At 34.8% G+C, this 25,873-nt stretch overlaps 1 protein-coding gene across 14 annotated transcripts in view; it reads left to right on the forward strand.

Annotated features, from left to right (window-relative positions):
- The window catches only part of PARP8 (poly(ADP-ribose) polymerase family member 8), a 180,589-nt gene that overhangs the window by 70,661 nt on the left and 84,055 nt on the right, over positions 1-25,873 (forward strand). For 10 of the 14 annotated variants that reach the window (NM_001178055.2, XM_047417705.1, XM_011543631.4 and 7 more), the window contains 4 exons: positions 13,560-13,597; positions 23,052-23,141; positions 23,701-23,771; positions 25,230-25,307. In NM_001178055.2, coding sequence (NP_001171526.1) covers positions 13,560-13,597; positions 23,052-23,141; positions 23,701-23,771; positions 25,230-25,307 — 277 coding nt within the window. Of the gene's footprint in view, positions 1-8,144; positions 8,586-13,559; positions 13,598-20,527; positions 20,625-23,051; positions 23,142-23,700; positions 23,772-25,229; positions 25,308-25,873 lie in introns of all 14 variants that reach the window. The other 4 variants (XM_011543634.3, XM_047417707.1, XM_047417706.1 and 1 more) reach the window with 3 other exon arrangements.

A 25,873-nucleotide genomic window follows, 5' to 3' on the forward strand; every position in this document is an offset into this window, starting at 1 on the left:
TGGAGGTACAGGCATTTAACTTACTGAGATACATATTCTTTAGCAGACAAAATTTATTTGTAATGCCATGAACAAGAATCACTTACATTATTACCAGTTTTCTATAATTTATGCCTATCATTCCAATGGAAAAACACCCAAGATCTTTTTTGCCCTTTTTCAAGGTTTTTACAGTTTTTCCTTTAGAATTTCTCTCCTGTGATCATAAATAATTTCCAAAGGTAATTCTTCATCCAAAACCAACCAAACAAAAAACCTGCAGTGAGAGTATTCATTAACCATGTAGGCTTCTTGGAGTTTGCAAATCTAGAACCATGATCTGTTGAGCAGCTACTGATCAAGGTGATAAAATTAACTTTTCCTCTGAAATTTTCATAAGAAAGATGGGATTTGACTTTAAAAAGTGCTTTCTTGAGGCTAGAAAAACAAAATGAAGAAACTCTCTCCACCTGATTTTTATCTTCAGTACTTATGTATATAATTGGTGAATTTCTTTCTGGTTGAGGCTCCCAAAATTTACTAAGATTCCCATTTTGCCAGAAAGTGGCCTTCCTCACCATCTGTAAGTCTGGGAACCTATCAGCTAGTTCTTAGGCCAGTTTTCTTGGGAGGGGTGTGTAGGCATTTATTCCACATATAAAGTCATTCCTTGTTCCTTAATAGTTGCTTGCTATTCCTGATTAAATGAAAATTATTTTAAATATGATACTCCAGGGATAGCCTTGGTTACCAAATAGAGTTATCCAATGACATTCTGGTAATAAAAGAAGAGATATTCTTATTCAACCTGTGAAAATAACTATATTTGCCATGAGAATAAGGGTACTCATTAGGAGTTTCTGAATTCTGGAGTAATCAGTGAGAATCATATGCTGTTTTAAAATGTTTATTTTAGTTTAGAAAAGCAGCATCCATAAAATTCAGAATTAAATATAGCTTAAAAAGAACTTCTTCATCAATATGTTAGAAAATAGAATATTAAAACAGTATCAACAGTATCTAGACAAATAGCCACAATTGAATGTCCCTCACCAGTTATTTAAATCTTATGTAGTTCTTGTTTCATTGGATCTTGGGTCAACATTCTGTCTTCTGCTTCCGTATGAAAAATCTACATTTAGAGCTTAGTTTGGACATACATTCAAAATTGGCATTGTAATCATAACTGTCTTGTTAAATGGCCACCTTTACTTTGGTAAGACCATACACACGGCTGTCTTAGATTTTTGTAACTGAGGCTTTTAGTTACATATTCATTGGCTTAAGAATGAGTTGCATTTGCTAACTAAATACTTACTAATCAAAATATGTCATCAAAATATGTCAGATTTAAGCACAGTGCCCTTATAATTCAAATAATTATACTTTACACAATCTTATGAGAACAAAACATGTTCTGAAAGCTTAATGAATAGTGAATGGCTAACTGATTTTAGTAACCACTTAGAAATACCATTCTGGAGTCTATAAAAGTATTACTATTGCCCTCGTTAGTTGCTGTTCTCCCAAAAGACTGTATCCAAAAAGAAACAAGAAAAGCAGTGGATAGGACTAGGGCTTTCCAAATGTAGCTTTACATACATATAGTATTTAAACAGAGTAATGAATCAGTGCCTGTGAAGGCCTGAAATAGCATGTAACCACTAGGGGAAAAATTGTTAAATCATGAAGAAAATGATTTTATCTTTGGCGAGCAGAAAAATATTAAAACCTGTGCGCTTGCAGTTTTTTCTTATGTAATGTATAAATGTCTAATTTATTACAATTGTTTTTAGATCATGACCTAAAATTTATTCTATAAAATTTATGAATATTGCTTGAAACTCTAAACAAATTGTGTATTTACTACATTAAAATAATCAGGTAAAAATCATAAAATTAAATCAAAGCTATATGTTTACATTCAGTTTTTAATGCAAATAGCTTATAGATGCTTACACTGAAACATCTCAAGCACTTTAACAGGTCTGCCTAAAATTAGGATGATTTCAGTTGTAAGAAACAAAAATATTTGTTTTGGCTTAAACCAATGGTGTCTAATCTTTTGGCTTCCCTGGGCCACAGTGGAAGAATTGTCTTGTGCCACATATAAAATACACTAATGCTAAAGAAAGCTGATAAGTTAAAAAAAAAAAAAAAAAGAAAATAGCAAAAAAACCTCATAATGTTTTAAGAAAGTTTACAAACTTGTGTTGAGTTGCATTCAAAGCCATCCTGGACTGCATGTGGGCCACGGCTTGGACGAGCTTGGCTTAAACAGTAAAAAGGATAGTTATTTGTTCATGTAATAAAAAATTTATTATTGATAATGAGACGTAGGCTTAGTTTACATCAGGGCTCTGCCTCTGTCTCTGACATTTTCTAAGCTCCACATTTTTCTGTATCAAGCACATTCCTAGACTGGCTTCCCAGTGGGTGTGAGAAGGCTAACCAGCAGAGACCAGAGCTGTCTGCTTCCTCATTCACATCTAGGAGGAGCAAGAGACTTCCCACAGGTATTGAATCAAAGTCCCAAGCTCTACTCTGAATGGAGCACCCTGAACCAACAACCATTGAGGCCAAAGTGTAGGACACAGGCTAGGTAACTCCTTTCCTTCCATTGCAGGGGGATCTGTTATCCTGATGGCTTATCCAGTCATTCAGTCTTCCTCTCCACCTGGGAGAAGGGATTCTCCTCATGAAAACCTTAGGGCTTCCATATGAAGAAGGAGAGGAATGAGTGGAATGGATATTGAGGAGGCCTTTGGATGTCCATTACAGATTTATTCTGCTTTTACTCATTCGTTAATTTTTTTTGTGGGGGGATGGGGGTGGGGAGGGAGTTGAGAAATCATTTTTTTGATCATCTCCTCTCGCTACATCAGCTGCATTCTTCCATATTTCATCTTCCTTGTAATCCTCTTCACAACACTAGGGGAGTAGATATTATTAATCCAAATAAGCAGAAAGGAGTTAGCCAATTTAATTTTCTGAGGTTTATATTGTAAAGGCAAAATTTAATTCAAGCCTATCATATACTAAAGTCTGTGCTCTTTCTCCTGGTTATAAAATAATTCTTATTTACACAATAATTTTGTAAGGAAGGTTATTCAGACTTGGAAGATCAATGGGTATATACATATATATATATATATATATATATTTTTTTTTTTTTTTTTTTTTGAGACGGAGTCTTGCTCTGTCACCCACGCTGGAGTGAGGTGGCACGATCTTGGATCTCTGATCTCGGCTCACTGCAACCTCCACCTCCGAGGTTCAAGCAATTCTCTGCCTCAGCCTCCCGAGTAGCTGGGATTACAGGCACCCACCACCACGCCTGGCTAATATTTTGGTATTTTTAGTAGAGACGGGGTTTCACCATCTTGGCCAGGCTGGTCTTGAACTCCTGACCTCATGATCCACCCACCTTGGCCTCCCAAAGTGCTGGGATTACAGGCATGAGCTACTGCGCCCGGCCTGGGTTTATATATTTTTAGTAAGCATTCATTCTACGTATATTTATAATGTTCCCACTATGTGCTAGGTAGATGGTAGGTGCTGGAAATACAATGGGAAGAAAACAGGTGCCTTCTACTCTATGGATTTAGCAGGGGAAGCAAATATTAATAAGTCATACAATCAGCCATATTTACAAACTGTGTAACTGCTCCGTAGTAAGATCTGATCAAGTCTGGGAAAGGTCATCAAAGTTTTTTCTTAGGAGATGACATCTGAATTGAGAACTGAAGGATGAGACTGAGTTAACCAGGTCAAAAGGAGGAGGGGAGAGAGAATTCCAGGCAGAGGGAACACAACATGCTCAAGAACTGAAAGGAGTCTTTTTTGTTGGAGCATAGAGAGAACAGTGGAGCATAGAGAGAACAGTTGGAGCACAGTGAGGCAAGACAAAGATGAGACGCATAGATAGGGAAGGTCTTGCGGGGGCTTTAGGTGCTATTAAAATTATGTTTGAGCATGGCATGGCGGCTCATGTCTGTAATCCCAGCATTTTAGGAGGTGCTTGAGGCCAAGAGTTTGGGACCAGCCTGACCAACATACTGAGACCTCATCTCTACACTAAATTTTTTCAAACTTAGCAAGGCATGGTGACTTGGGTCTGTAGTTCTAGCTACTTGGGAGGCTGAGGTGGGAGGATTACTTGTTGCCAGGAAGTCGAGGCTGCAGTGAACCGTGATTGTGCCACTGCTCTCCAGCCTGGGCAATAGAGTGAGACCTTTTCTCAAAAGAAAAAAAAAAAAAAGATTATATATTTGATATTCCACAAGAAATTAACTTGGAAAGAACTTATTTTATTTGCCTTAAATATTTAAGATGCTGAGGGTTGTATCATACTATCGAAGTTCTTTCTAAATATTTGTAGTGTTTGTTCCCTTTCCATGACAAAGCCTTAATTGAGCTATAGAGTTATTCAGTCGTATTTAGTTTTTCCGTCTTGGTATGCTGTGCAGATCATTTATAGCCTCTTTAAACTTTTTATGACCACTTAAAACTTGAACTTAGATATAAAACAGTGAAGGTAAAAACATCTACATGTTAGTGAATATTTATCAAAAGAATACTGAATTAGTTATAGTTACAAAGTGTTCAGTAAAGAAAAGCTCAGATATTAAACTTTCGGGATGCAATATGGAAATAATATTTATATAATTAATTTAATCGAGGTGTTAGTGTTTGATGACATGCTCTATCTACTATTCATATTTTATTGGAATTGTATTGTTGTCCTTTTATTTGTAGTCATGAGTAAAGAAAAAGAGAGAAGCACAGCTTTATTTAAATATGTTGTTGTCTTTTGCATGGAACTAAGGTAGTGTAAAAAAACCATTTTCTCACTTGCTTTTAAAAATACCATTATAAAGCTTGCATCAATGTTACTAATCAATGTCAGACTTAGTTCTCTCAGGTTCCTCCCTGTTGAGAAAATAGCTTACTTAGAAGTCCAGACATTTAACTTACAGTGTAATATTTAAGCGTAGAAGTTGCTGACTTGGCCACTTCCCTAAAAATCAAACAAACAAAAACATTACTTTTGATCCTGTTACTTCACGTGCTGAAAGTATAACTTAAAAAATTACCAAAATAAGTTTTGAAAATAGGAAAATATATTATTGAGAAACTAACTTAATGTTTGTTGGGCAAGAGTCTTCATCCTTTTACCTTAGTAAAGGGTAATACGTAATTTATTTCATAGGTGAGAAAGATGTGTTTTCTTTTCTTTTCTTCTTTTTTTTTTTTTTAGGTAGAATTTCATTCTTGTTGCCCAGGCCGGGTGCAATAGCGCGATCTCAGCTCACTGCAACCTCCGCCTCCCAGGTTCAAGTGATTCTCCTGCCTCAGCCTTCTACTAGCTGGCATTACAGGTGCACACAACCACGCCTGGCTAATTTTTTCTGTTTTTAGTAGAGACAGGGTTTTGCCATATTGGCCAGGCTGGTCTCGAACTCTTGAACTCAGGTGATCCGCCCGCTTTGGCCTCCCAAAGTACCGGGATTACAGGCGTGAGCCACCGCCCCTGGCCGCATTTTATTTTCTAGAAGGAGAACTTAGTGTTCTTGTCTTCATGTTGAGTGGTTCCGAATAAGGGAGGGGGCAGATATTGTGTGCAGTAGTTCATATAATCCTATTTTTGGCAGTTTGGCTTAAAAACAAATACATTTGTTTATTTTAAATAATGCTACCATTAATATCTTTGTGGCTAGTTTTTTTCCCCACTCACATAGTTACATATGTTTGATAGATTTCAAATTGTGAAATTGTTAGATTAAATTAATAGAACAAAGCCCCAAATGGAGTGTGGGTTTATGAGTTCTGTGCAGCAAGTAGATGGATTAATCTTAGATTACAAGGACAGATAATTCCTTCTTCCTGGGTACAAGGAGAGGAGTATGAGCTTGTAGGTGGTTGGTGGGAGACAGAATAAAGGGAATGCCTTGAGGAAGTAACCATATGATAATCTCTCTTAATGTGGAAAGAAAGCATTTTGATGAGAGTGAAAGGGTAGGTTGTTATACGGTGTTTGGAAAGCTGTGAAAATTTGCAAAAACAACTAGGAAGAAAAAGTAAGGGGGTTTATGAAGAATGGGTTTCTCAGGTTACTGAGCAGAGTTGTTAATAGATAATATTGAGAACCACATGTCTGTAGGGCACCAGGCCCCTTAGTTTCATTGTCCTTTCCAGCAGCATTCAGAGCCCAGGTCCAGGAGCTGAGCATGGCAAATATGACCTAATCTGCAGTTTGGAGCTGGTAGGATCAGGTAGTCTGCAGGGGCAAGGTAGGCGCTGCACATTGAAGGAGTCGAAGATGCTGTGGAGAGAGCAGTTAGGTATCTAAAATCATGGGAAGATGAAAATGAAGCTCAGAGGGACTGGTAAAGACACAGAGTGAATGCATTGTTTAAGGATGTTAGAAGTAAGAGGAAAGGAGTGAGAGCTGGGAAAATTATAAAATTGTGGTTAGAAAGTGGGACATGGGGGTTTGAGATTTTAGAAGGGGAGCCATTCACTCCAAATCAAGCTTCAAGGTATAGCCATTTGGAGATTTGGTGAGCTAGTGGTAGGGAAAACGAGGCCATGGAACTACGTGCAGCTTAACGTTGTCCAAATGGATGGGAGTGATGTCAAGATTTTTGGTAAAGAGGAAAAGAAGGTCCTAGAGCTCCCCAACCCTGGATAAATGACAAAAAGATTGTAGCTCATAGTGGTGAAGAATGAGGATGCTGTAGCTGATTGACCTGCACAATTTGAAAATGTTTTTAGAGGGTGAAATGATGATGAACATGAAAGTGAATGTTTTGGGAACTGAATGGCATTAAAGTAGCAAAGGTGAGCTTCTAGTATGCCCCAAATTACCTTCTAGCTTGAGACACTAGAGTTGGGTCTGGAGGTGGGTAGTGGGACAGCATCTCTTTCACTCTGCAGCACTTGAAGAGTAAAGAAGACAGAATTAATAAGTGCTGGAGTGAATTTTCTTCTAGAAAGCTCCAGTGTGTCTGGGGGTGAGATGTGGTCTCAGGTTTCAACTGCTGACTTGCAAGTGAACAAAGACTGAGACCTAACCAGGCACGATGGCTCAAATCTGTAATCCCAGAGGTTTGGGAGGCTTGAGGCCATTGCATTCCAGCCTAGGTGACAAAGTGAAACCTTGTCTCCAAAACATAAATAAATAAATAAATAAATAAAATTAAAAATTAATTGATTAAATAAAATTGAGATCTGTACTCCTAAGCATCTTCGCTAGGGTAGAGGATTGTTTGTCATGTGCAATTTTTTGTTTCTGCCTTTTGCTTTTTCTTATTTAAATTCTTAAAGTGGGATCTAACTGGGAGGGATAAAAGATACGAGGATGTAGTTTATTGGAGAAATTGTTTTAAATATTAGCAGGTAAGTAAAAAGGTAATGTGCAATAAAATACTGGTTTTTACTTGTTCTGTCAAAACCTCTGGGTGTTGTTGAAAAAGCATGAACTGAGGATCCAGGAGTTTGACGTTACAGATGGCAGTTATGGGCCCTGCTTGTAAAATCAGATAATGAATTGGTGCATCGAAAAACTCTTTTAAGTCTAAGATTCTTTCATCTTCAAGCCTAAATTCCAATCTTTATTACATAGAGCTACCATCTTCCACTACTTTTGAAAGACTCTCCTTAGATCCATGAACTTGGGAGTTCAGACCAGACTCTATCTGTTCTTAGCTCATTGCAGACATTTCAGAAGGAAAAGGATGGTAATGGAGTGATTGGGAAGTGTAGATACAAGAATGACCTTATTAAATGGTTCCAGTTATAGGAGTAAACAAATATATGAACAGAATACAGGATTAGGTAGATATGGAGCAACTGACAGCTGCTTTGGGAACTCCTTTAGAAGTTGTTGGCTATTGGGAGATGTCTTTGGTTGGGCCAGATGCTTTCAGAGGAAAAAGAGGTGAAAGTAACCATTTTGTTAGAAAATTATTGAGGTGCAATAAAATAATTTTTAGATTCTGGTTTCAAAGTTGTGACTTTAAGAACCATGCATCACACTGTTCATATAATATATACCAAACACATATTTGACTGACCTGAGTTTCTGGCAAAGCACCTCAATGTAATTAATTGTAAGTCAGCATATCCCAAAATTCTGAAGGCTTTTTTTTTTCTCTGAATAGGAATTCAGAGCTTGCTCCAGGGATGTGAGGACAAAAGATGAGTATGACTTTTAAAAGGAATTCAGAACTTGCTCTAGATTTTGCTTTCTTCTCATGTCCACCTTCTTTCACTTTCACTTATGCTTCTTGACAATATTTTCTGCCTGCTACATGGCATTTATTATGTACAGCACATACTAACAGTACTCTGCAATCTACTTAAGCTTTGTTCTTTCCACGTTTTTTTGGTACTACTCATTAGATCCTTGAGCCAATCATCCATGTCTGTTTGTACTAGATTGTTTCCCTTAGAACTCTGCAAGTCACAAAGTGAAACTGATTAGGATTTTACAGTCCTGGTGATTTTCCTTCTGGTATACCACTGAGAAAATGCTGTCGCACAAGGGGCTGATGAATCATTTTGCAGGATTTCTGTTTGCTATTTTCTATTTGAAAAATTAGGTACGTTCACGAACATGGGAATGTCTCCTAATATCATGAGGACAATACGACCATAAAATAAAATAATCAGTGTTGGTTTGGGTCTCAGATAAATGTAATATATTGTACTTTTTAGCAAATTGAGTTTTCCAGAGAACATTCATTCATGTAAATTTCACTCCTATAAATTTTAATTGCTTGTATTGGAAGCTGACTAAAATTACTCAGCACCTGCTGTTATGTGTCTGGCATTGTCCTGGGGTCCTTGCACCTGTTAAGCCATTAAATCATCACAGCAGGCTCTTAAGGTAGGTATGGATTCTTCCATTTTACTAAATAGAGATTGAGTCTGTGAGTGTTTAACCAACTTTTCTTATGCCTCCCAGCTAGTAAGCCTCAAAGCTGCATTGGACTCCTATTTGTCTGTCTTGAACTACAACAGGCCCTCTAACTGGAGGTAGACAAAGGAATGAATTAAGGCCTCATTTTGGATTCAGACATTGATTTAGATGAAAAATGAAGCAATTGCCATTGGTTGAGATGGTAGGCTGTTGGGAATTAATTCAGCTTAGTACTGAGTATAATCTCTGGCATTGCCAAGCTTCTGTCACATAGCACTGCCAGATCAGAAGGGTGCCTTGATCATCAGTTTTATTTCTACATAGTACCATTCGACAGTATAAAGGAATGGATCACGGGAAAATGAATTCATATGGGGTCATAGTGTACATTTCCCCCCAGCTTGTTTTGGGGCACCATTGTCATGGATATTTTATCTTCTAATGTTTGGCATGTTGATTCAGGGCCATGATTTCCAAAGCTGCTCTATTGGCTGAGGTCCAACATCTGCCATTTGTTCCTGCATTCTTATTCCCAATACATACCTTTTCACTGATATGTGCTCATATTTTACTACTATGATAGCTTCTTAATCTGATCTCTCTTTTCTTCAATCTATCCTAAATATTAGCTATCAGAGTATATTGTTCAAAATACTAATCTGCCTGGAAATACTGTTATGCTTCATAATCTCTGATTCCATTTATGTATTATTCTTGAAATGATAAAAAATTTAGAGCTAGGGAACTGATTAGTGGCTGTTGGGCTTAAGGATGCTTGGGTGAAGGGAGATGGATATGTCTCTAAAAAAGGTAGCACAAGGGAAATTTTTGTGTGATCAAATAGTTCTGTATTTTGTTTGCTATAATGGGTATGTGATGCACATGTGATAAAGTAACATAGAACTATACTCAAACTTTGCACTAATGTCAGTTTCCAGGATTTGATATTCTACTGTAGGTACATAACATGTAAGCAATGGAGGAAACTGGGTAATATACATGACACTTTTGTACAGTCTTTTCAACTTTATGTGAGTCTATATTATATAAAAAGTAAAAAAAAATACTACTGTGCTTTAAAATGTTCAAGTTCCTTTGTCTGTCATATTTATGTATCATATTCTCTGGTTCCCTCTAAATTAACCATCCAAAGGTGTTACCTCTGATATATATATTTTTTTCTGTTTAAATCTTATTTGGCATTAACACAATGTTTGGCTCATACCAGGTTACCAAAAAGTGTTCCTTGAATTAAAACTGGGATTAATGGTTTTAATCCCAGTGCTTTAGAAGGCTGAGGCAGGAAGATCACTTGAGGCCAGATGTTTGAGATCAGCCTGGGCAATATAACAAGACCCCTGTCTCTATCAAAAATAAAATAAATTAGCTGTATGTGGTGGTGCAAATCTGTAGTCCAATCTACCCAGGAGGCTGCAGGGGGCAGTTGCTTGACCCCAGGAGTTTGAGGTTACAGTGAGCTATGATTATGCCATTGTACTCCAGCCTGGGCAACAGAGCAAGACCTCATCTCTAAAAAAAATTTTTTTTAAATGGAAAAAATTTGCTTTATGAAATAAAAATGTATCAAACTTGGTCTGTTTACTAATCATACTTCTTTTCTACTCATCTACTTATTCAGTTATGGTTTTTTTTGTTTGTTTGTTTTGTTTTTTTTTTTTTTTTTGTCTCTTCCTAATCTCTTTCCAAGTACTGAGCAGCATGCCAGGGATTTGACTGGTGGAGTTGGGAACTCTTTTCAAGGACTTAAGACTCAAATGTCATAAGGGCAAGATGAGCCAGGGAACCCAGGGTATAAGCTATGCTGACTCATGTTCATCCATTCATTCAAATTTATTGAGATTTGTGTTATAGCTCAGTATATGATCTATCTTGATATTCTGCAGTTGTAGTGTTCTATGAAAATCAGTTTCAAATATTCTGTGTTTTTAATTTTTTTTTCTTTTTGGTCTGGTTCCATTAATTACTCAAATTATGATTGTTGAGTTGTTCATTTTTCCTCTATTTCTGTCAGGTTTTGCTTCATATATTATGAGGCTTTGTTATTAGGTACATACACATTTATGATTGGTATGACTTCTTCCTGACGAACTGACACGTTTATCATTACGAATGATCTCTTTATATCTTTAGTCCTCAGTCTTCTGATGCTTATTGTTTGCATGGTGTATCTTTTCCATTCTTTACTTAAATCTATATGTGTCTCTATATTTAATATGGATCTCTCAAAGATAGGATAGACCTTGCTTTTTTTTTTTTTTTTTTTTTTTTTTTTTGAGACGGAGTCTCGCTCTGTCGCCCAGGCTAGAGTGCAGTGGCGCGATCTCGGCTCACTTCAAGCTCCGCCTCCCGGGTTCACGCCATTCTCCTGCCCCAGCCTCCCGAATAGCTGGGACTACAGGCGCCTGCCACCGCGCCCGGCTAATTTTTTTTGTATTTTTAGTATAGACCTTGCTTTTTTATCCATTCTGGTAATCTTTTCCTTTTATTCAGTGTGTCTTGTTCCATTAACATTCAATGAAGTTATTGATATGATTAGATTCAGGCTCTATTTACTTTTTGTTTTCTATTTGTTCCTTCTGTTTTTTGTTCCTCCTTTCCTGCTTTCTTTTGGATTAAATGATCCAAAATGATTTTTAGAATTATTGTGTAATTTATCTATTAGCTTTTTAAGCAGTTTGTGTGTGTGTGTGTGTGTACATGCTATAGGGATATTTCCTTTTCTGATAGTTATTATTTAGGGTTAATATATCATTTTACATCATATGTAAGGATTTTGCAACTTCATTTTACATAATATGCAAGGACCTTGCAACTGTTTAAGACCATCCTACCCCTCCCTGTTACAACGCTGTAATCATATGTGTGTGAAGTGCTATAATTTTACTTTTTAACAGTCGAATGTATTTTTAAAGCATTAAAAAAATAGTGTTTTATATTTACAGTTTTCGGTGCTTTTCATTCTTTTGACTTTCCGTCTGGTATTATTCATCCAGAAGAGCTTTGTTTAAGACTTCTTATACTGCAGGTCTGCTGGGGACCAATTTTCACAATTTTCTTTTATCTGAAAGTTGTTTTATTTTTCCTTTGTTTTTGGTGGATCTGTATATATAATATATGGGCTGAATAGAGAATTCTGGCTGAACAGTTGTCTCCTCCCCTCCCCAAAAGTCAACATTGGTTCTTATCACTGTTTCCTTGTGTGTAATATGTCGTTTTATTTTTCTCTGACTTCTTTTAGAATGTTTCCTTACATTTGGTTTTCAGCAGTTTGACTGCATGTACCTAGGTGTAATTTGCTTTGTGCTTTCCTGTTTCAGATTTTCTGAGCTTCTTTATTCAACACATCTTTGTCTTTCACTCAAATTGGGAAATTTTTAGCTCTTCTTGATATTTTCTGCATTATTCTTTCTTTCTTCAGCCTTCTAAAACTCTAATATACAAATGTTTGCTCTTTTGCTAGTGCCCCATAAGTCACTGATAGTCTGTTTTTGTTTGTTTCTGTCTTCTTCAGATTGGTTTTTCCTTTACATCCTTAAGTATACTTATGATAACTGTTTTAACATTATGGTGGGCTAATCCCAACACTTGGATCTTCTTTTCTCTTGAAAATAGGTTACATTTTTCTGTTTGTACATATATTAAGTGATTTCTGATTATATTGGATTCACCCTGTGAATGATGCTTTGAGTAGATTCTGTCTTCTATATGTTCCTTTAAAGAGAATTAGTTTTTTTTGTCTTAACAGGCAGATAATTGGCTGAACACAAACTAAAATTTGACTTTTCTGTGGCAGGTGGCAGCTTCACTGATGCAGTCAGATAGCTAATGTTAAACATGTGCTGTGTGTCATGCACCAAAGTAAATGATGACACTGCAAATATAAATAGACGTAGATCTTAACCTCATGGGGCTTGCTATCTAGTTGACAGAGATAAAAAATGAACAGATAAATATGTTCAATTTTCGTATGTCATATGAGGTAAGTACATAGAGGCAGCAGGGTTACTGAGAAGTGAGTTGTGCAATTGTTAAAATATAATTTAAAAATTATTTTGAAACAACTCAATCCTTATGAAAATAGAATAAAGTTTATTTATATATACGTGTGTGTGCGTGCATGATGAAAGATTGATAATATTACTTATACTTCCATTATATTTTGTTAATTCTTTTAGAAAAAAACCAACATTATCAAAAGTACTTCATATTTTGGGGAAACTATTAAAATGTTTAAATTCTTGGGTGCTGTACTAAATAAGAGAAATACTTTTTTGGTAAGAAAAGATGATTTGATGAAATCTGAGCAAAGAAAACAAATGATCATATAATAGGAAAAATAGACCTTGTTGAAATAAAAGACCTGTCTATACTAAAAGAAATATCCCTGTTGGGAGAAAGATATTTCAAAACTGTTAGACTAAGACCCATTTAGACTAATGGAAAGTATATTTTAAAAACCTGTGTTTCTTATGGCGGATATAAAAGTGGTTTTCTAATCTGTTTTGGAAGTTTCCTGTTTATACTTACATCTTTATAACTGAATGGGTAACATGGGTTTGGTTTGTCTTTTTTTTATAAAAGCCTGTCTACCTTAGCAATAACTTGAGCCTTTTTTGTTTGTTTGTTTTAACAGTGTATCCTACTCAGTACATGTATCTGAAGATTACCCAGGTATGCTTTTCTTGTTTTATTACAGATATTCGTATCAGGGTTCCTTTGAATATTTTTTTCTTCTGGAGATGTAAAACGCATATAAATATATTGAGGGGTGAAACACTGGTAGAGGAAGCCTTAAAGCTATAGAAGAATTCTGCTTACTGCCTGCAAAGTACATGTCTTACTCTGAGACACAGTGCAGAATCAAAATAATTTCCCAATGAAAAGTTCTTTAAAGATCCCTATGATAGTTCCAGCCTGTGCATTTACATCATTACAATTAAAATAAAGAGATCAATGGTCTAATTGTTAGTTTTGAACATCATTTGGCCTTTCATAATGTAAAAATAATAGGTAACATTTATTTGTTTCAGTCAGTTTTCTAAGTGTGTGTGTGTATCTATTTTTTCTTTTTAGTATTAAAAAATAGTAATTAGTTCATAGTTTGGTATGGAGATAATGTAAAACTTACTTGTTTAGCATTTAAGTATTTTCTGCGGCAGTTTGCATTAAGCATTTAACCATTTTATAAGATCGTTACATTTGAAAATACTTTCTTAAATCACAAACTTCCTTACAATTATTTTGCTATGCTCTCCATATGTTTTAAGAATAGTATTCTATAAAACTATTGTACAGTTATACAATGAAGTTATTCATTAAGGCTATGCCTATTTTTAATAGTAATACAAAAAGTGTTCTAGAGAAATTTTACTGGAAGAACCAATACAAGAAGTATTTATAAGAAAAATACTTTTTATAGATGGTTATGCAGTCAGCCCTGTCTGATAGTGTAGCATGTTTTTGATGCTATGTTTGCCAAGTATGTTATGAAATAAAAGCCCCACTATTTATTGTAAATACAAAAATTAATGTGCTTCTCATCTGAGTCAGATCATAGAGATGTCAGCCATGAGAAGTACAGGACTTTAAGTCAAGGTAATAGAAATAATAGTACAAATTAAAGCCCAGGTTGAAGACACTAAGTGAATTAATCTGTAGCACAGGATGTATGGTAGAAGATGCCTTTAGTAAACCAAGTGGGCCAAGTGTTTAGCTCCCTCTTGTGGCCAAGAGGTATTACTTGGGCTTTTTCACACTTTACGGGAGCCCCACCTGGAAATGCCAATATACAAACATTGAAATTCTAAAAAAAGTATTGATTATCATTTGTGCTCTTTTTACTGAATTCTCTAACTGGAGCAAGTTTGCAATGAATTTTCAATATAACTTAATTTCCAAAAGGAAGGAGTGTAAGTATATATATTTAATCTGTTTGGTGAAAGTAGGTTGTTATGCTGCAATAAAATATGATCACAGAAGACGGAGATTAGTGCATTCTGGTTTAAATACCGGGGCAGAATTTTCAGTTGGCTGATGTAACCAGTATATCAAAATACACTGTCCAGTGCGCAGTATACCAAGTATTTGCACATACATAATTTCATTTGATTCTCAATGCCGGTCTGTAGGAAAGGCAGAACAGGGCAGTTTATAATATAAATTCATACTTAGAGAAGTGTGCTGAGAGATGGTAAGTATTAAATAACATTTTCCCAAAACATGTAGTTTGGTGATAAAATCAAGTCTGTAATTCAGTTCTGATTCCCGTTGCCTCTGGGGAAGTAGTGTTAGTATTTTTATGGAGCTTTCTTCACAGTGAAATTAATATGATAATGTTTTCCCCATTATTAAATTTTAATCCACATTTATTTGTACTAAGAGTTGTTGGTTAATATGCTTGACTTTTTAGGTAGACATCTTGTTTTATAACTTACGTGTTTGTTCTTCCTTTCCAACATTTATACCTGTTCTTGTTGGCACTGGAATAATTTTTAATAATAGATATGAAAGTTGGCAGCTTTGTCCCTTTTTTCAAAATTAGTGAGCATGCTTCCAGTTGTTTTCAGAAAGGAAATTACTCTTTTTCTCATTTACCAAGCTTTTTTTTAAAAAAAATGAATATTAAATCTTTATCAAACTATTGTTTGGCATCTGTTGAGGTGTCATATCTACTTTTTCCTTTAAACAATAAAGTAACAAATTGTATTAGCAAATAACTCAATGTTGAGCTATGAGAATTATGTGTTTTGTCATATACTTTAGCATTAAAGACCTTAAGTTGCTGAATGAATTAAACAACTCTTTGAGCATTTGCTAGAACTTGCAAACAAATCTGTCTGAGCTTTTTAGGGATGGTTCTGGGTCAGTTGTCTTATTTTTCTGCCATGATTATTATCTCTTCTGTTTTTCTGTTTCTTAGTCATTTTAAAATATGTCTTCTTACTGAAAGTTTCTATGTTGGTGAAATGTCCAAACTTTTTAGCAAAAGTATAGTATTTGGTCCGTAATTGTAAAATTCTTCCATGTCTCTGGTTATTTCTCCTGGCCCATTTTTATTGTTCATATTTGTTCTTGTTCTTCCGTCCGTTGGTTTGTCTTCCAAATAGTTTAGCCATTTAAAAGATTCTTTCAAACAAATAGCTCTCTTTAATGTTGCATTCAATTTCTAAATGCAGTAATCTTGATACTACATTTATGAATTCTTTCTAATAATATACCTTAGGCTTCCCCTCTGCCTACTTTTCCTGGATTATTTGGATCAGTTATTAAGTAATCATCTAAGTTTGAACATATGAAATTTTCTTTGCTCTATGAAAATATATCAGTATTATCCTCCAAAGTCAAGATTACATCATTCTAGCTTATGTCCCTAGGAACAGATTTGTCCTTTTATAATTGTGATCTATTAATTAACTTGTACCATCTATTGAAATTTATTTCATACTTTTAGTGAAATGAAAATTTAGAGGGCCTTTGTTGAGTCAGCATATATAATAGCATGTATATAAATGAAATACTAAATGATATGTTGACTGTTCATGATTAAGTGAAGAAATAGAGAGGCCTTGTGATTTACTTGTACTTCTTTGTAGATTTTATTTTGAAGACAGTTTTTTTTTTAATGTCAGAGAATGAATTACACAATAGTTGTGTATATTACAAGTCACAGGTTGGCTCTACTATAATGGCAGAGTTCTTTAATTTTCTCTTTCCACTTTTAATTAGAAAGGCTTACCTACTGTTGGGAGTGGACTCTCTTATCCCTAGTAGAGGAATGAAGGGATACTTTCTGGATCCTCTGGCACCTGTGAGTCTAAAGAGTCTTGACCTACATGATATACTTGAGCATTAGGTATAGCCTGTGAATAAACCTCTTAAGTGAGAATTAGAATACTATACAGTCTATATCAAATTATAGCCCCAAAAATATAATTGTTTTTATACCTAATAAACATTTATATTTTATAAGACATTGCAACTTTTTAGTGACAATACTTTCCATATTTGAAAAAGGACATGGTATAGTGACAAATCATTGATTTTTGGATTCAGGCAGATTCAAGTTTTACCACTTACTAGTGTATAGTTAGTTAATTAATAGTATTTAATTTCTCTGAGCCTTAGTTTCCTAGTATTTAAAATAGGGATAATAATTGACTGCTATAGGGGATGAGGTGAAATTATGTAGAAAATTCAGCAAAAATATCCAGAATGTAACATGAAATCAATATAATTTTTTTAGAGTTATAATTATTATTTATCTTAAGTTACATCAGTGAGGGATGGAATGACTTGACTTAAATGGTGCTGTATTTGGAGCAGAATAAAAGCAACAGTTTAAGAAATACTTTTGCACAGTTCTATTCATCTCTCCCCAAGTCTCAAGTGTTCATGAAAGTTCTGGTAATGCTTTGCATAGTGTTAGAGAAGTGAAGAGAAAATATCTTGCTGTTAACAGCCTTAACAAAGATCTGTAGGTCCTCTATAAAACATACACATTAAAAATCTAACTGTCCCCAGAGGTTTTCAGAAAAAAAAAAAAGAGCTTAGAAGTCAAGATGGAGAATTCCAGTGAAGGAATTTGAGTTTGAAAACATTCATATATATATATATATATATATATATATATATATACACACACACACACACACACACACACACACATATATATATATTTTATTATACTTTAAGTTCTAGGGTACATGTGCACAACGTGCAGGTTTGTTACATATGTATACATGTGCCATGTTGGTGTGCTGCACCCATTAACTCATCATTTACATTAGGTATATCTCCTAATGCTATCCCTCCCCCCAGCCTCCCACCCCACAACAGGCCCCAGTGTGTGATGTTCCCTTTCCTGTGCCCATGTGTTCTCATTGTTCAATTCCCACCTATGAGTGAGAACATGTGGTGTTTGGTTTTTTGTCCTTGCGATAGTTTGCTGAGAATGATGGTTTCCAGCTTCATCCATGTCCCTACAAAGGACATGAACTCATCATTTTTTATGGCTGCATGGTATTCCATGGTGTATATGTGCCACATTTTCTTAATCCAGTCTATCATTGATGGACATTTGGGTTGGTTCCAAGTCTTTGCTATTGTGAATAGTGCTGCAATAAACGTACGTATGCATGTGTCTTTATAGCAGCATGATTTATAATCCTTTGGGTATATACCCAGTAATGGGATGGCTGGGTCAAGTGGTATTTCTAGTTCTAGATCCCTGAGGAATTGCCACACTATCTTCCACAATGGTTGAACTAGTTTACAGTCCCACCAACAGTGTAAAAGTGTTCCTATTTCTCCACATCCTCTCCAGCACCTGTTGTTTCCTGACTTTTTAATGATCGCCATTCTAAGTGGTGTGAGATGGTATCTCATTGTGGTTTTGATTTGCATTTCTCTGATGGCCAGTGATGATGAGCATTTTTTCATGTGTCTGTTGGCTGCATAAATGTCTTCTTTTGAGAAGTGTCTGTTCATATCCTTCGCCCACTTTTTGATGGGGTTGTTTTTTTCTTGTACATTTGTTGGAGTTCTTTGTAGATTCTGGGTATTAGCCCTTTGTCAGATGAGTAGATTGCAAACATTTTCTCCCATTCTGTAGGCTGCCTGTTCACTCTGATGGTAGTTTCTTTTGCTGTGCAGAAGCTCTTTAGTTTAATTAGATCCCATTTGCCAATCTTGTCTTTTGTTGCCATTGCTTTTGGTGTTTTAGACATGAAGTCCTTGCCCATGTCTATGTCCTGAATGATATTGCCTAGATTTTCTTCTAGGGTTTTTATGGTGTTAGGTCTAACATTTAAGTCTTTAATCCATCTTGAATTAATTTTTATATAAGGTGTAAGGAAAGGATCCAGTTTCAGCTTTCCACATATGGCTAGCCAGTTTTCCCAGCACCATTTGTTAAATAGGGAATCCTTTCCCCATTTCTCACTTTTGTCAGGTTTGTCAAAGCTCAGATGGTTGTAGATGTGTGGTATTATTTCTGAGGGCTCTGTATTGTTCCATTGGTCTATATCTCTGTTTTGGTACCAGTACCATACTGTTTTGGTTGCTGTAGCCTTATAGTATAGTTTGAAGTCAGGTAGTTTGATGCCTCCAGCTTTGCTCTTTTTGCTTCGGATTGACTTGGCAATGCAGGCTGTTTTTTGGTTCCATATGAACTTTAAAGTAGTTTTTTCCAATTCTGTGAAGAAAGTCATTGGTAGCTTGATGGGGATGGCATTCAATCTATAAATTACCTTGGGCAATATGGCCATTTTCACGATATTGATTCTTCCTATCCATGAGCATGGAATGTTCTTCCATTTGTTTGTATCCTCTTTTATTTTGTTCAGCAGTGGTTTGTAGTTCTCCTTGAAGAGGTCCTTCACATCCCTTGTAAGTTGGATTCCTAGGTATTTTATTCTCTTTGAAGCAATTATGAATGGGAGTTCACTCATGATTTGGCTCTCTGTTTGTCTGTTATTGGTGTATAAGAATGCTTGTGATTTTTGTGCATTGATTTTGTATCCTGAGACTTTGCTGAAGTTGCTTATCAGCTTAGGGAGATTTTGGGCTGAGACGATGGGGTTTTCTAAATATACAACCATGTCATCTGCAAACAGGGACAATTTGACTTCCTCTTTTGCTAATTGAATACCCTTTATTTCTTTCTCCTGCTTGATTGCCCTGGCCAGAACTTCCAACACTATGTTGAATAGGAGTGGTGAGAGAGGGCATCCCTGTCTTGTGCCAGTTTTCAAAGGGAATGCTTCCAGTTTTTGTCCAGTCAGTATGATATTGGCTGTGGGTTTGTCATAGATAGCTCTTATTATTTTGAGATACATCCCATTCTTATTCTATTACTTTAAGTCCTTTCTTTAACCCTTTTTACGCTCCACATTCTTCTCTAAACAAATTTTTTTTTACAAATGTCAAAATAATTTGAGGAAGATTTAGAAGTAATTAAGCAAGAACAAAAAGCCAACAGAATGGATTCATACAGATGGGATGATCATCAAAGATCATGAGCAAACCTCTCATTTTATAGCTAAAACTGTGGCTTAGGCTAAAGGAGATCAATAGCTAGTCTGCAGTAGTGTCTAGATTTTTCTTAATCTTAAAATATTTAATTGTCAAATAAAGCTTGATTATAGTCAAGTTATACAACAGGATGATTTGATATATGTATACATGTGTAGTAATTACCACGATCAAATTAATTAACATATCCATCACCACCCATGTTATACATTAGGTCCCAGAACGTGTTCATTTTATAGCTTTAACTGAAAGTTTGTACCCTTTAGCTAACATCTTGCTGTGTCCCCCAGCCCCTGGCCACCATTGTTCTTATTCTCTGCTTATACTAGTTCAACTTACTTAGATTCCGTATAGAAGTGAAATCATGCAGTATTTATCTTTCTGTGTTGTCTGGCTTATTTCACTTGGCATAACGTCTTCCATGTTCATCCATGTTGTTGCAGATGGCAGGATTTCATTCTTTTTCAGTTGCTGAATGTAGTATTTTGTTGTATATGTGTACCTCCGTTTCTTTATGCAACCATCCATTGATGAACACTTAGAACTTAAGAAGTTGTTTCCACTTCTTAGCTATTGTGAATACTGCCACAATGCACATGGTGGTGGAGATATTGCTTCAAGATCCTGGTTCCGTTTCCTGTGGATCTCAAAAGGATTGCTGAAATGGGTAAAGTAGAAGAAATAGATAAATTCCTAGAGACCTATCAAGACTGAATCATAAAAAAAAACAGGCCAATAATCAGTAAGGAGATCAAATTAGTAATCAAAAATCTTCCAAAAAGAGAACAGAGTGCTTTGAATTCAGAGTGAAGTGAATTCTGTCAAATAATTGAACCAGTTTTCTAGGTTTGATGTGCTTTCTTTCCTGTTCTATGTTTCTGATCATAGATTGGGTCTATCTCTGTGATCTGATCTGGCCTATTATGTAATAACGGCAATTTAATAAATAATGTCATAAAACCTGGAAACATTTTTATTTGGGGTAAATTAAGCCAAAATAGGAAATTACATGGGTTCTAATTCCTAAACACTAATCAAAATACAAACTATACAAAATCTTTCAGAAAATGATACGTTTGAAGGCATAATGCTGTCTAGCCTATGCAACTTATAGTCACCAAATTATATTCTCTTGAATCAAATCTCACTGTCTTCCAGTGTTGACACTTTATGTAAGCCATTTTGATAGAAAATCCTTTCTATTTAGTTATTCACTCCCCTGTTTTCTTAAACATAATGTCTTAATTACTTACCTCTTGGTGTTTTAGTAAAATCTTCGTCATTCTATGATACTGTAAAATTGCATGATGCTATCCACCTTACGGATTCTTCTGGATCTTCCCTTCTACTTGGTGGCCAGCTTTTGTTTCTGTTGGTCTAATGGTGCCTTCTAATACTCTTTTTCTCCTAAATGTTAGCTCCAGGGACTCCATTGTGCACAGGGAAAACAGATAATTAGGTTTTATATTAAGTAGCAACCGACTTCAAATCAGTGAGACTCTGAGTGAGGATTTAAGACATAATAAAAAAACATTGACTCTAATAGGCGTTTTTGATACTTACTGAAAGTATGAGGTTACTGGCAGAAGAGACTCTAGATAAGTGATCAAAGTCTCAACTAATGAGATAATAATTAAGTTTATATTAAACCTGTTTCTTAATCTGTGGTCCCACTCGATAAGCATGAAAACCTCACATGCTCCATGAAAATATTGGAAAACTAAATAAAGCAAAATTTGTGATTGCACTAATCCAAATAATGAGGCAAACATCTTTTGTCTCAAATTTAATTCATATCCATTCCTGCTTAGCTCCCTGACTGTTAAAGCCTTAGGTCTGTTGAGAATCTTTTGCAGCTAACCTGTACATACAGATCACTATCATTCACTCATTACTTGAGGCTAAGAATGCTACAGATGTTTCTTTGGAAATAATGACTTAGAGATGTATTAATTAAAAATTGTGTTCTCATTGTACCGACACAATATTATGAAAACTGGGCTCAAAAATATCTTTTAATGTGCATTCCCTGCGCCATAAGAACAACTAATTTCTCCTAGCAGAAATTGATCCATGCTTCTATTATGTGTTCGTGGTATTTTATACTATTTAGTAGGTCATTGATGAGTGCATTATAGGACCATTATTAATGAATTGATGAAGTGTGGGTCAAAAAGCTCTTCTGAGAGATGCCCTGCAATCATCAATGAGCAAAGAAAAATAAATACCTAAGAATTGTATTACCATATACTTGGAGACCTGTATTCATTAGGGAAAGAGTGCTAAACTCATAAAAATGTTATTTTTTAAAGAGGAAACAAATAGTGAATAAGAAATTTAAGGACCCTGTAGACTAACTTAGTATTTTGTGCACTCAACTTGTATAATGCATGTAGCTAATTTAATTCATGGAAGAATGATAATTGTGAGACTTTATCAATTTAAAAATATGTATTAGAGCAATATGGAAGGTATGATTTACAACAAAGTCTTCAGCTCAAATTTTTGAATGATTTGATAATGAATCTTTCCTTATTTTTATTTTTTATTTTAGAGATGGGGGTTTCACCATGTTGGCCAGGCTGGTATCAAACTCCTGACCTCGAGTGACCCGCCTGCCTAGGCCTCCCAAAGAGCTAGGACTACAGGTGTGAGCCACTGTGCCCGGCCCACTAATAAATTTTTTTTTTATTGCAACAAATGCTCTTTTTCAGTTTTCTCTCTCCACTCACTAACCCTGCTTCCTATAGTAGATGCTGATATTGGGAAGGACCTTGTCCAGTGAGTTAAGGCACCCAGTTGCATCCAAATGATTCATTGCCATAAGGGATATTACAGATGTACCTGGATAGTCTCTATTCAAAATCTGTATTTCACCAGGAGATACAAATGTCTTTAAAGAGACTATTTACAATTACTTCACACATAAATCTGCAATTTACTTTATCATATTTTTTGAGTTTAATCAAACAGTAGTGTATGCTTTATGAGAGTTGGAACTAAAGTGATGTGCATATAAATTAGCTATTATTTTTGTAAAGGATGTATTTTTTAAACTTATGCCTTTCATTATCTTTTTTTTTTTTTTTTGCAGATAATACATATGTGTCAAGTTCAGAGAATGATGAAGATGTGCTAGTTACTACAGAGCCAATACCAGTAATTTTTCATAGAATAGCAACAGGTAATAGTAGTATTATTTTTTATACTAGGTTAATTTTTTAAATTGCATTATCTTTTTTTGTTTGTTTGTTTGTTTCATTTAGCCAGTAACAGATATTTATCTTCTGTGTCTATAAATCCAGTCTCCATACAAATTTTCTATCTAAAGTACATTTTTTAACAATTTTGTAAATGCATAAATTTAAAGTAGTTGTAAAAAAATTCTGTGTAAATGTATTATGCTGACATTGCTGTTGTAAAAATATTTTCCTACATAGTGACAGACTGAATATTTTAAAACCACACTTACAGCAATGAAGACACCATGAAATATAGAGTGAGAGCTGAAGGAATTTGTAAAGTGGTGGTTTAGTTTAATCACATCTTTCTGCACAGTGAAAAATCAGAATAGCTTGCGTATTGTGTAACTCCTCAACATGACATGATTTCAAAATATCCCTTAATTCTTTTTCAGAGGAGATGGAATCACCTAAAGGGTAGTTTTATACCAAAACTTATGAATGCTTGGTAAATAGCATACTAAGTATCATAATATTTTTTAAATTACAACTTTCTTTCAGAATTAAGAAAAACAAATGACATTAACTGTTGCTTATCCATAAAATCCAAATTACAAAAGGAAAATGGGGAGGTATGTAAATTATATTTTTTATTTTCTTGAAACAGTATAGATATATTTAAAATTTACTGGGTTTTTGTAGTTAATAGCATCATTAGTGAGACTAAAATGGTATATGGTGAATGAAACTCAAGCTAATGGCTCAGGGGTGTTTGGTATGGTAGGAAGTGGCCTAAAATTAACTCTGAGAAGAAAGTTCCCCTTAAAATCATAGAAAGAAATGTCTGGTTTAAATCTAAATAAAATGTATATAAAGCTTAATTTATTCTGTATTCTTTCATCAAACACTGTAATTAGCTGAGGAACATTATGTAACTGATTTATAACTGCACGTGGCTATACATAATTTTGATGGGATCCTTAAAATTTTAAAAGATGATTTCTTTAGCCAAAGTAACACTGAGGTTGTACATAGTCTTATTTTCTGTCAGTATTTAAAAACACAAACTCATCTTTTCTCTCCATTTCCAAAGACTTTACTTGAATCTATAAATAAATATCAGGATATTAAACAAACAAAATGAGTGCAATAGGACCAGCAGTTCTTTGCTTTCAAAATTATGCATTTGATCCAATCCTCCTCTTCCTGTTAGTGTTGCACCATTCATTGTTCCCTTCTTTATCCACATTGAGAATTATTGGTTGAACAAAAGGATTGCTGAAACCAGAAATGGTTAGAATTTTATAAAACCCAAATTTCCTTTTGCATATTTTTTTGTTTGTTTTCCTTAAGAACTTGAAATTCAGTGTAGAAGTTTAGGGATGGTTACAAAACACTGGATGAATGGATTCCTGTGTCCAAATACCTACATTTCTCCTGTGTTAATAGGGCCAGTGATAGGAATACCCCCATGAATTTTCATTGTTTGTACTTCAGACACATGGCAGATGTGGCTCAGTTAATTAGAAACTCAAATTTCAAGTTGAAGCATATTAAATTAAATACCCTTTTGAAATCTGAATTCTGAAACAAATAATTTCTGTATATCAAAAGTTCTCATATGTTTCATATTTATTTTCATAATTTGATTATATATTATTGCATTTAAAGTTTCTTTTTTTTCATACCATTGTTTAGAGTTGGCAGGGGAAGTGAGAACAGCCTGGGACAAATAATGCTGAGGAGCTTTTTAATAAAATTGAATTAGTATAAGCTTGCCAAATGTTTTATCAGAGCAAAACTGAAGGTATAATTGATTATACATAAGTTTTTAATATACATCAAATATTGAATTGTGCATTTCCTGTAAAATCAGTGAAAGAGAACTTTTAAAACAGGTGTGCTGCTGAATACACTCACAAAGCCATTTGTCTCCCACTACCTTTTGTTCTGGGGTTTTACTGCACCAAGATGTTTTATATATAAAATCCATAATATATGCTCAAGACTTGCCTATTATAGTCACTTGCTATTTTAGAAAGGTAAAATAATTTGACCATTAAATTGTTTTCTTACTTTATTATTTTAAGGAATCAAGACAGAATAGTACAGTGGAGGAAGATTCTGAAGGTGACAATGATTCCGAAGAATTTTATTACGGAGGGCAGGTAAGGAAACCTGGTCTTCCAAATACCTAGTCTTAAAGTTCTAATAGCCATGTTGTCCTAGTGGTAATCTGTGCCTGAGAGTTAAGGGACCTGTGTGTTGTTCAGGGTTCTGTAACTAACTAGAAAATCTATATAATTTATCTTTGCACATTTTCTACCTATTTTTAGAAATTAAGGTTCCCCTGCAGTCCTTTCAATTGTAATCATTTATTTACATTGAAGTCATCTTAATTCATTACAGCGATTTTGCAGATAGTATTTTATTATGCTTTTGACTTGAATTTCTTAAGCATGTTGTGTTCAGTCACTATTCTGAGATAATGACACTTGTAATAAAAGTGTATATTGTTAGTTTTAAATAGAAGCTGGTTAACCTTTATTAAATTTGATGGGCCCACATTACTGAGCATCTTCATCATTTGTTTATTTGTATTCACTGCCATTGAATTCTTGGTGTTGAAAAATTGTTATGAAGAATCATCATAATTTAAATATATGAGAATAGCCTAGCCACATATATAAAAGAACTCATCAGAATTTTTCAGGATAATGTTAAAATTTAAAAC

This window comes from Homo sapiens, chromosome 5 (assembly GCF_000001405.40).
Source record: "Homo sapiens chromosome 5, GRCh38.p14 Primary Assembly".
In the NCBI taxonomy this organism is placed as follows: Eukaryota; Metazoa; Chordata; class Mammalia; order Primates; family Hominidae; genus Homo; species Homo sapiens.